The following is a 12263-nucleotide window of genomic DNA, read 5'->3' on the forward strand; positions in this document are numbered from 1 at the left end:
ACACAGAGGAGTTGTTATTGTGGTTACTTGTGGTAAGAAGAGTACCTTTCTGATTGGACCCAGGGCAGAAAAAAGAACTTTCAGGTGGAAATACAGTCGTGGTGTCAGGTAGTGTGTAACTTCGTTAAGTTCAGTCATAGCAGCCGCTGCCAAGGGGGGCTGTTCCTGTTCCTCATTTCCAATTGAAATTAATAACTCACTTGAGATCCTACTAAACAACACACGGAACAATGACCGCAATAACCAACATACTTTGAGTAACTATTACATGCATGGGCTCTGTGCTATTCTCTTATGTGTATTCATTTATTTAATTCCCTTAACAGTTCTTTCTGGCAGAGACACCCCCCCACTCTTAGCCCACTTTTATAGATGGCTAAGCAGAGGCTCAGAGAAGTCAGACAACTCACCCAGGATCAAGCAGAGGGCAAGTGGTAGATTCTAGAATTTGCATCCAGGCAGTTGAGTCTAGAATTGTCTTTGTGTATTTTGCTCCATGGTCTAGCACAGGATCACCATTGGTAGATCATCACTTAGAATGCCATCACTACCTTCTAACAGCAATCAGTCCCCTTAAGTGGCTTTCTTCTCTTTTTTTTCTTTTATCTTTTTGTTTTGTTTTTTTTTTTTTTGAGGGAGTCTTGCTCTGTCTGCCAGATGGAGCACAATGGCGCGATCTCAGCTCACTACAACCTCCGCCTCCCGGGATCAAGCGATTCTCCTGCCTCATGCTCCCGAATAGCTGGGATTACAGGCACACACCACCACACCTGGCTAATTTTTGTATTTTTAGGAGAGAGGGGTTTTACCATATTGGCCCAGCTGGTCTCGAACTCGTGACCTCATGATCCACTCGCCTTGGCCTCCCAGAGTGCTGGGATTACAGGCATGAGCCACTGCACCTGACTAAGTGGCTTTATTTTCTTATGTGGGGATCCTGGAGACACAGTGTGTGCCAAAGCGTCTGCAGACCAGTCTGTACAGTTGATTATAGATATATTAATGACCACTTCTGAGCTAAAAAATGATCTAGAATAATAGACTACCAAACACGTAAGCTTATTTACGGTTTGCCTCCTTCTCATGCTTTTGGAAGGGAAGCACTGAGGGTCATTGTATCAGTCAGCGTAGACTAGGTTTGCCGCAGTAACAAACGACCCCACCATGCCATAGCTTGCAAAAACAAAGACTGAGTTCTTGTCTACACTGTAGGGCCGTCAAGAGCTGGCTCTGCTTGCTCTTGGTCTTCTCCATGCCAGGATCCAGAGTAAAAGCACAGCTTCTCTCTAGGACTCCAGGGGAAAGAGAAAAGACAAGTTCTTAAAGTTTCTTCCAGGACGTGACACCTGACATTTCACTGGCCAAACACAGTGACCTGGTCACTCTGGGGCAGGGATGTGTAATCTCCCCATAGCTGGAGAAGTAAATAATAATGCACAATAACATTGTCTCCCATGGGTGCAGATGTGATGCTTTCCTCCTTGTGACTGTTTTCTGTCTTGCTGTCCCAAGTCCTAAGGTCCCAGCCACCTATGGTTCTTTGGACCTGTGATTTTCGCTGACCCCGAATGACTGGAGGAACTGCTGCCTGCATCCCCAACCCAGCCCTCCTTGTCAGTCACGTAGAAAGCAGTTATTGTTTCCAAGTTCCCTGCCCTTGTTAAATGTCAGCTTTGAGTGAAAATGTTCCTAATTTTACTCAGAGTGCAAAGAACATCCAGGTCAGGTACCTGACCTGCTTGATTCATGTCTTGGAAACACTCCTTTGTCTTTCAGAGAAAGTAAAGAGTGATGGAGACAGAGAGAGAAAGTGTGACCTACTTTTTATTATCAGCACCATTTCATCTGCAAAACACGACTTTTCTCTTCTTATTACGCTGAGCATGAAAATAAAATGTTTTCCAAAAGACCTGGCTTTGGCTGTTGTGAGGAAGGCCAGGGACTTGTTCAAAACTCTGATGAGCTCGATGAGCAAATGATTCCAATTTTTAAAAACTGTAATTGACTTTCAAACTGCTCTCACTGTCCACACATAATATGTGGTACTTTTCTGCAAATACCAGCAGCAAGGTAGGACAAAACCAGCTCCCACACTGGCTGTTTGCTTGATATTAAGCTTTGCCAGTCCAATATAGGTCACATTTCCAACCAGATTTTGTGCTTATCTCTACATTACACCTTGTAGCAAGGGGGAAAAAAAGAGCTTCTTGACATCTTTTTGAAGAATGGCGCTCTTTAAAAAAACATAAGGGAACTTTTTTTTTCAAACACTGTAATGAGGGTATTCAAGTCTGCAGGCAAAACAGAGCTGTTTGAAAAGACATTAGCCTCGAAACCGCACTGTGCCAGAATAGATACAGCTACGTCAAAATGCCGCATTTATTTTGCCATTACTTTTCACTGACTAAAACCATTTGCTAATGAAAGTTCTAGCTGACATAATTTCAGCACCTGCTGATGGAAAGGTGGACTCACTGGTCATGGGGAGTACAGTAAAATTAGGAGAGTAGATAGAATCCTGAAGCATTTGAGCTGCAAAATCATAGTAACAACAGCTCTTAATATCCTATAATTGAAAAAGAGATTGCCATTTTCAAAGACCTTTCACAGTCATTCTCTTAATCAAGTCTCATAATAAAGATGTCATTGGGACTGAGCAGCTTACTCACATTCTCATTTCACTGATGAGGAAACTGGAGCTCAGGGAGGTTACATGGATTCTGGATGACCTACAGGTCATGGAGGTAAGAGAGGAATGGGTTCCTGGCAACTCCTTCTGAGTACTAACTGTTAAAGTAAGCAGAGTGTGTGTCTAAACTTCTCATGGGCTACTGTGAGGAGTAAGGGGTAACTGCAAGTTAGAAGGCATGATGCCCAAGATTGTCCTTACTCTGACACCCACTGCAAGTTTGAGGTGGTCCTCAAACCCATCCTCATGGCTGATATTTGCTAGAAGGACTTGTGGCACTTAGCAGAAGCTATTGTATTTACAGTTACAGTTTATTACAGGGAAAGGATACAGGTTAAAATTAGATCGGGGAAGAGACAAATGGGGCAAAGTCCAAGACAAGTACCAGATGTGAAGCTTCTATTGTCCTCTACCCATGACATCAGGACAGAATACTTTTCTACTATCTATGTGTGGCAGTATGCATGGAATATTGTCAGACAGAGAAACTCACCTGAGCCTCTGTGTTCAGAGTATTTATTGGGTCTTCGTTGCGTAGGTGTGATTGGGTGATTGCCCACATATTTGATCTCAGCCTCCAAGTCAACTGATAACTGTGGTACAGTGTCCCTACCCTAAGCAATATTGTTGGTCCTTTAAGAATGGTTCATCTGCAACCTAAGGTTACATGGGTGTAGTTAGGCCCCATCCTAAATCACATTAAGAGTCTCCAGAGTATGATCAGAGGTGCCCAAGCAAACAAAGACTCTTTTTTTCAGGAATATATTCTGCATATATTTCAGTGATTTTTTTTTTTTTTTTGAGACAGTCTCTCATTCTGTCGCTCAGGCTGGAGTGCAGTGGCGTGACCTTGGCTCACTGCAATTTCTACCTCCCGGGTTCAAGCGATTCTCGTGCCTCAGCCTCCTGAGTCACTGGGATTACAGGCATGCACAACAACACCCAGCTAATTTTTGTATTTTTAGTAGAGACAGGGTTTCACCATGTTGCCCAGGCTGCTCTCGAGCTCCTGACCTTAGGTGATCCCCTCACCTTGGCCTCCCAAAGTGCTGGGATTACAGGCGTGAGCCACGACCACCAGCCTCAGTGAATGTTTTTTAATTTGGAAAGGATTTTATAAGAAAGGATTCCAACTTTCCCATTTACAGAGAAGGAAGCTGAGGCTCACAGGTTTCACTCAAACCATAAAGCTCAGGAGTAACTAAAGGAACTGGAGCTTGGGGGTCCCAGTCCTGGGCACCATTGCTAAGTAATGTGGCCTATTTTCAATAAGGGCTTATTAATCATACTAAAAATAAGAACTTAAAACTAAATTTTTATTTGCCTAGAAATCTAACATCTTTAGATAAAAATATTCCATATTCAGGAGGCATAATTCTTTCTCTTTTCTTTTTTTTTTTTTTGAGACAGAGTTTTGCTCTTATTGCCCAGGCTGGAGTGCAATGGCGCAATGTTGGTCCACCTCAACCTCTGCCTCTTGGGTTCAAGTGATTCTCCTGCCTCAGCCTTGCGAGTAGCTGGGATTACAGGGATGTGCCACCATGCCAGGCTAATTTTGTATTTTTAGTAGAGACGGGGTTTCTCCATGTTGGTCAGGCTGGTCTCAAACTCCCAACCTCAGGTGATCTGCGTAACTCGGCCTCCCAAAGCACTGGGATTACAGGCTTGAGCCACTGTGCCCGGCCATCTTTCTTTTTCTTCCTCTCCTTCTACCTTGCCCACCATGGCTTAATTTCACCAGAATATCATCATTATCAACATCATTATTTCTAGTTCAGATCATTCTAAAAATAGAGCAGTCATTTTCTTCTATATAAGTCCCAGGTCCAGCCTGCTATTTTTTGAGCCTACCTTTCCTAATATCTAGTTTATATTTTGTTTTGTTCTTTCTTGGGATTGGGAGTCAGAATATCAACTTTTTCAGAAAAGAGCTTTGGAAATTCTACATACATAATATATATAAATTTTCCATTCATAGTGTGTTAGCAGCTTTTTCTACAAATCTCTTGGCGGGTGGGGGGATATTTCACTCTTCTATGAATCAAATAATATATGGCTTTTTCCTATTGGAAAAAATTAGTCGTGTGAACTTTATTCTTCAAGAAAAAGTAGTTTTTATCTGCCTTGGAAATGTCAAAAGGATTCACAAGTTTCACAAGTGATGATCTGGGTTGATTGCTAGGAACTGTTTTTAGTTAGTTTTTTTTTTTTTTTTTTTTTTTCAGACGGAGTCTTGCTCTGTTGCCCAGGCTGGAGTGCAGTGGCGCGATCTCGGTTCACTGCAACCTCCGCCTCCTGGGTTCATGCCATTCTCCTGCCTCAGCCTCCCGAGCAGCTGGGAGTACAGGTGCCCGCCACCACGCCTGGCTAATTTTTTGTTTTATTTTGTTTTGTTTTTTTTAGTAGAGACGGGGTTTCACCGTGTTAGCCAAGGATGGTTTTGATATCCTGATTTCGTGATTCCACCCACCTTGGCCTCCCAAAGTGCTGGGATTACAGACATGAGCCGCTGTGCCCGGCTGCTAGGAACTATTAATCCATAGACAAGGCTCTGGTTAGAGAAGCAGAAAGAAGGCTGGGTAGACCGGGGAAGGTAGCTGGGAGGTCTCTGAAGCTTGGTCTTGAAGCTGTGAATTCATAGACGTCTTGGAAAAGAACTTTATAATGTGGTTAGACAAGTTTTATAAGATTTTAGGATTAGGAAGGCTTTTTTAGGGGGTGGGGTTGCTTTTAAACTTTGTTTGAAAAATGGAGCTTGCTGCCATCATATCATCATCAAAAATGGAACTTGTCTATCCACAAATATTTATTTAAAAGTCAGACTAATGGCAGAATGGAAAGAATCCCAGCTTTGGAGTTAAAATATCTCACTTAAAACTTGTCTTCGCTGCAGGCTACTTGGTTGTACTTGAGTAATTTACTCAAGATTCTCTTCAGCCCAGTTTCCTTATCTGTAAAATCCTTCCACTGTTGTTAGGAGGATAAGAAAGCCAGTATTGGTAAAAACATATATCAGAGTCCTTTTGACTGTTTAGAAAGTGTTAATTTACTCCACGATTATCCATTCAACATTTATTAGTTGGCTTCTGTGTGGGAGAGTAACCATTAATACCTTGAATAAGTTTATAATCTGGTCATTCTGTAGAGCTTCCTATATGATGTCTTCTGTTTAAGTATTTCTGTAATACCTTATAGACATCTCTTTTAGACTACTAGTGATTGTTGGTGTCAACATATGTGTGAAAATGCATATATCCTTTATTAGGCTCTAGCACACAGTGTGCTCTCAATGTTTGTCTTTTCAAATAAACATACTTGGCCAGGCCTGGAGGTTCATGCTTGTAATTCCAGCACTTTGGGGGGCCAAGGCGGGAGGATCAGTTGAGCTCAGGCGTTCAAGACCAGCCTGGGCAACATGGCAAAACCCTGTCTCTACAAAAAATAAAAAAGTTAGCCAGGCATGGTGGTGTGTGCCTGTAGTCCCAGTTACTGGGGAGGCTGAGATGGGATGATTGGTTGAGCCTGGGAGGTCGAGGCTGCAGTGAGCAATGATATTGCCACTGCACTCCAGACTGCATGAGAACGTAAAACCCTGACTTAAAACAAAAACAAAAAGAAAACGTGCTCATTGGCTAAGCCTGGTAGAAGCCACATGACCAAGGCTGATCATTGCTGCCACTGGGTGGCAGCATACTGGGATTGAGGAAAATAACCCCTCAACTGCCCGGATGATAAACACAGAGTTCTAAAATGGCAACAAAGGGAGATCCACCCTTCTCAGTTATTGTTTGAAAGGACAGCTCTCAGGCAAAATATGTCCACGAAGTTCCATGGAATAATTACCTTCCTTGGTGTTAAAAAATGCCCTCACATTTCAAACATGTCCTGCTTTAAGTTCCCAGCGTCTTAACCAGGAACTCGCTTATGTGTGTTGTTTTCTGCTTCTTTCCACTAGGGAGCTATTGCTGTAAAACAGAAGGGGTAGTATTACAGGGAGGAGATGCACATTTTAAAATATATTTCTGCTTCGTCAAACTGTACAGAACTCTTTTCCTCAATGAGAACCAGGTTTTTGCATGTATCTTTTGCCAAGATTTGAGAAGGGAAGTCTCCACCTTCCAGAGCTTTGGTCATATTTTGTTTCTCTCTAAGGGTGAAGATGCTGTTTGTTCTTGCAGGGTGAGGCTTTGGCCAATAAGAAAGCAGTGCTCAGAGGTAAAGAGCCTCGCTGAAGCCCTAGTTCTAGCCTACCAGGATTTGGTCATTTCTTGGTTTTTCATTTGATCCCACCCTTGCCTCCCTTCAGAATGAAGGTAGAATGTGGGACTGTTTCAGACCATGAATGCGATTGGGCAGAAAGACTGTGAACCAAGAGGGCAGGGAGAAGGGAAGGGATGTGGGGAGAGCTAAGTGTAAATTGTAGAGTCTATGAACAATTCTGGAGACAGACAGGACAGGTAAGGAGAAACTGCTGCTCTTGGTAGAGGTTTACAGCCAATTGTAGAACCCTAAGAAAATACAGCACTTTGGGAGTGGATGGACCCAAAATGGGTGGATCATTTGAGCCCAGGAGTTTGAGACCAGCCTGGGTAACATGGCAAAACCTTACCTCTCAAAAATTTACAAGCTTAGCCAGGCATGGTGGTGCCCACTTGTGGTTTCAGCTACCTGGGAGGCTAAAGTGGGAGGATATCCTGAGCCCAGGAGGTGGAGATTGCAGTGAGCCATGCTCGTGCCATTGCATTTCAGCGTGGGTGACAGTGAGACCCTATCTCAAAAAAAAAAAAAAAAAGTTCCTAAGAAAATAAAGCCTGGCCCATGCAATTTGAATGTAACTGTCTATAATTTCTCTTGGTTACTGAAATTCTGAGTTTGTGTCTATGGTTTCTCCATCCTTGTCTTTGAGGAGGAGCAGGATGGCGAAGTCGCAGCCATTTAAAAACTTGTTTTCAGTCATTTTGCAGAAAGCAGACGTACACTTCTTTGCTGTTGGTCTGTGATGCGGGAGTGGTTTGTCAGTTCTTTCATTCAACAAGTGCTGATCTTTGGGCAGCATACACTGGTATGACCTTTATCATTTGTTCAGGTGTTGTGGAGAAAGTTGTTTGCTTTTGAAAGACTTGATGGAGAAAAGTCTTTCTACATTTCTAGAAAGACCATGGGTGTGAGTATTGAGAGCTGAGTGCCAGTTTGTTTTTTTGTTTTTGTTTTCGTTTTTTGAGAAGGGGTCTCACTCTGTCACCCAGGCTGGAGTACATTGGTGCGATGAAGGCTTACTGCAGCCTCTACTTCCTGGGCTCAAGTGATCCTCCCACCTCAGCTTCCTAAGTAGCTGGGAGCACAGGCACCAGCAATGACACCTGCCTAATTTTGTATTTTCTGTAGAGATGGGGTTTTGGCATGTTTCCCAGGCTGGTTTTAAACTCTTGAGCTCAAGCCATCCACCCGCCTTGGCCTCCCAAATTGCTGGAATTATAGGCATGAGCCACCATGCCCTGCCCAGGCACCATTCTTGACTGCGAGAAAGTCACTGTGATGGTTTCTCCAGCCTGAGTTTTCTCCTGTATAAAATGGACCTTGTTTTGAGGAGAGAATGAGGTATGTGGTACTCGTGAGCAGGATTTTCAATGCCTGGCTGGTTGTTACTTATCCATTTAGTCCGAGCTTCAGGGAAAGAACATGACACCGGCCTCCAGCAGAGCCTGCTCTTGGTCCACTGTTTATCCTGGTGACCTTAGGCAAGTCATTTAATTTCCTTGAGTTTTGGTGTAAGTATTGATGGAGCAGACCATCAATAACTGTTCTTATGTCTGTTATTACCATGTGTCTGTCTACATGTTTGTTTGTAAATTCTCTGTGGGTAAAAGTTCTCTTTTCATCCCCTTGCCTCAGCACGGAGCCCAGAGCCAGACTGCAGGTAGGCACTCAATAGATATTTGATAAATGGATGTTAGTCATTTGATTTCTGAAGTTGCGTAGGTACCAGCACTACAACCCTATGTAGTTCACATAACTATTTGCAGTTGTATTTTCCTTTAAATCTAAATTGGAGAGAAGGAAGGTAATTAAGGCATAATTATCAGACTTAATCAAGCACTTATTTATTGAGCTTACTTGGTGCCTGGGCTTGTATCTTTTGTTTCTGATTTTTAGTTTCGTTTCATTGCTCCAGCGTGGGGGAATTTGCCTGTGTATCCTTGAATAAATGTCTTTCTTTGGAAGGCAGATTAAGTAGGGATTTCTCTTACTGTTTATTTTTGTTTCTAACTGAAGTTCAATGAATTATTCTTTTACCCAGACACTTACATATTCCTAGCCATTCCTTTTGCTTAAGTTTGCAGAGATTTGTGCTTAAAACTGAATAAACAATCTCAGGGTTTTTGTGTGTGTGTGTATGTGTGTGTGCGTGTTATATGAAGTCTTGCTAGAATGCATAAACAAACAAAAAAAATATCATACTCTCAGATCCTGGATACTGTGGTCGCCTGGACTTCAAAAGCCTTTTGTCCGTATGTATTTACATAATGTATTCTCCATGTTTGGTTTTCATTAAACCCATGAGTTTAATAATAAAGTGTTTGGAACTATGCTTTTCCCTACCACTTTTCTTTTTTTTTTTTTTTTTGAGACGGAGTCTCGCTCTGTCGCCCAGGCTGGAGTGCAGTGGCGCGATCTCGGCTCACTGCAAGCTCCGCCTCCCGGGTTCACGCCATTCTCCTGCCTCAGCCTCCCGAGTAGCTGGGACTACAGGCGCCCGCTACCACGCCCGGCTAATTTTTTGTATTTTTAGTAGAGACGGGGTTTCACCGTGTTAGCCAGGATGGTCTCGATCTCCTGACCTCGTGATCTGCCCGCCTCGGCCTCCCAAAGTGCTGGGATTACAGGCGTGAGCCACCGCGCCCGGCCCCACTTTTCTTGTTGTGAATATTTTTTCCCCTTCTGAAGTGAATACTGATTTTTCGTTACAGATATTTGATGCTTTGGGGGCCTGTTAAAATAGTTGTAAATACACTTTCTAAATAGATGAAATGAAAGAAATTCTGAGAAGGGGTTTCTTTGACTTACTGGAAAAAAAAATAATAGGAAAGAAAATGTGATCAGTTGGTATATTTGGCTCTCTTTCATCAACACTTTTATGGACCTGCATTGCTGTGTTTCTGTGATGTGTATAAAACACAGTTTCAGTGATCGTGCAAGCCTCAGTTTTAGAAGATAAAAAGATATGAACTTGAACCCAAGCTTCTCTGTCAAGAGAATTATAATGTGTTTTGACTGTAGGCTTCCTTCGAGTTAAATTTACAGTATTTTCCCCTAACAATAACAACAACCAGAAGTGCCCCTTTAAGTTGAGATGCTTGTTAAACTTTACATGTATGCATGCATATAAATGTACATTTCTGTATATATAATATACGTTCACATATAGTTACATTAGATTTTTAAAGAATTTCCTTTTTGCCTTCAAATCATTGCACAGAACATCCAAGTAGACATCATGTCAAAATAATCAAAATGTATTTAACGCTCTCTCAAGAAATCCATTTAAGAATAAGAACACGGTTTGGGGGTGATTTTCAGACCGTAAATTGAAGTGTAAATATTCGAATTATTTTCATAAACTCTTCAGTTCTGTTGGGCTTTTATGTTATCATACAGTGATTTTTTTTTTTGTATTTAAGTTTCCTAGCAGTTCTCTTTTTTAAGAGCCTCAAGTGTCCAATAAAAAGCAAATACTTGAATTTTCAGTTTCTATATAGTGCATATTTTTTCTCCTGCTTGCCTTATTTTTATAACAGTGATTTATAAAGACATTACTAAAGAATAGGAAAGAAGGATTTTGAAGAGGAACTGCTATATAACACTGCTTAAAAATCTATTTCCAATGCTAAGGAGAGGAAAAAAAAATACTGGCACCGTATCCGAGTGGGATCTGGGATCCGAGTGAGATGGCCATACCTTCAGTCATTCTCCTCCCCAAATATTTATTGAGCCTGGTGGACAAGGAGGGCGGGATAAGATTGCCAGGCCCTGCTTCTATTTCTGGGGTTGGGATGGCGACTAAAGACCCGCGTGGACTGCATGCTGCAGCCAGCTCAGGAAAGATTTCAGGAAGAGCGTTTAGGAAGGCAGCTTTGAAAAGAAAATGGAAAGATGAGGTTGCAGAGGGTCAGTCCAAGGTGACCAGAATCTGACCTGGGGCAATGCCATAAATCCAAGAAAGACTGGGTTTCAGGTGCAGGAAATGCGATTGTGCACGGACCCTTGCCTTTTTACCCAGTATCTAGCCCATCCTTCTTTCTTAGAAGCAGAATTTTCTAAGAGGTACACGGTAGTTCAGGATAAAAATTCCCTGTGCTAACTGCCCTTGCAGCTAGCTCTCTGTGACCGTGTGACCATGTGACCCAGTTCTAGCGAATGGGGTGGCAGGGAAGTCCCACATGGACTTCTTGGGCGTGTCCTTAGGGGAAGCATAGCTTCTTGCCTTCTTCACACTCCTCCTTCCCTTCCTGCCGTCTGGGATGTGGGGTCTGGCAGAGAAACAATATTGTGAATGGAAATGGGAGGAACTTGGGTCCTGAAAATTACACCATACCCCAGAGCCTGGGGTGGATTATTTCAGGACCTTTCTTCCTTCCTTCCTTCCTTCCTTCCTTCCTTCCTTCCTTCCTTCCTTTCTCTCTTTCTTTTTTTATTTTTTTTTTCAGACAGGGTCTCCTCCACACCCAGACTGGAGTGCAGTGGCACATTCATGGCTCACTGCAGCCTCAACCTCCTGGGCTCAGGCGATCCTCACACCTTAGCCTCCTGAGTAGCTGGGACTACAGGTGTGCACCACCACACCCAGCTAGCTAATTTTTTTTTTTTTTTTTTTTTCTGTAGAGACGGGGTTTCACCATGTTGCCCAGGCTGGTCTTGAACTCCTAGCCTCAAGTGATCCGCCAGCCTCAGCCTCCCAAAGTGCTGGGATCACAGGCATAGGCTGCTGCACCAGGCAAGGACTTTTTTTTTTTTTTTTAAACAAACTTCACTCAGTTTGAAGGCACCATTATTTGGGTTTCCTGTTAATTGCAGTTAATCCTATTGAGTAAATGTATCAAGGACAAAGAGCAGAATGAAAAAATGAGTGAGTAAAGTTGAGCAGAAGAACTCACTGAAAAGTCCTGGCAAGGTTCCACGGCACCTGTGATGCTTCCATCACACATATTTGCTGAGTACCCGCTGTTCATAGGTCAGTCGCTATGCAAGGCACTGAGGTGACAAAGACAAGGAGAATGACAGTTAAATGTAACATGGGCTTTGTGGTCAATTAGTTCTGGGTTCGTTCCCAGGTCCTATCACTAACTAGTACCCTTATGAACCTGGACATGTCACTAGCAGCCTCAGTTTCCTCATCCATAAGATGGGGATAGCAATATCTATCTCCTACACCTGATGTGAGTATCACATGAGAAATGCACATGAAATGTTTTACTTAGTGATGAGCATATGGTAAATAAGAATTTAATAGATTTTAGTGAAAGCAAAATAAAAGGTCCTATCATTGTCCTTAAGGAGCTTACGAAAACAGAGCTAT

General features: G+C 42.6%; 1 protein-coding gene across 2 annotated transcripts in view, besides 1 other annotated feature; it reads left to right on the forward strand.

The window, feature by feature from the left end:
- WWOX (WW domain containing oxidoreductase) overlaps nucleotides 1-12263 on the forward strand; it is a 1113014-nt gene that overhangs the window by 819253 nt on the left and 281498 nt on the right. The gene's annotated exons all lie outside the window — the stretch shown is intronic.
- Nucleotides 6265-6314: an enhancer, noted in NCBI's record as "active region_11157". NCBI's record gives its function as "activates an Ori minimal core promoter by ATAC-STARR-seq in GM12878 lymphoblastoid cells {active_cell/tissue: GM12878}" and the evidence as "EXISTENCE:reporter gene assay evidence [ECO:0000049][PMID:35858748]".

Source organism: Homo sapiens, chromosome 16, assembly GCF_000001405.40.
Source record: "Homo sapiens chromosome 16, GRCh38.p14 Primary Assembly".
Classification (NCBI taxonomy): Eukaryota; Metazoa; Chordata; class Mammalia; order Primates; family Hominidae; genus Homo; species Homo sapiens.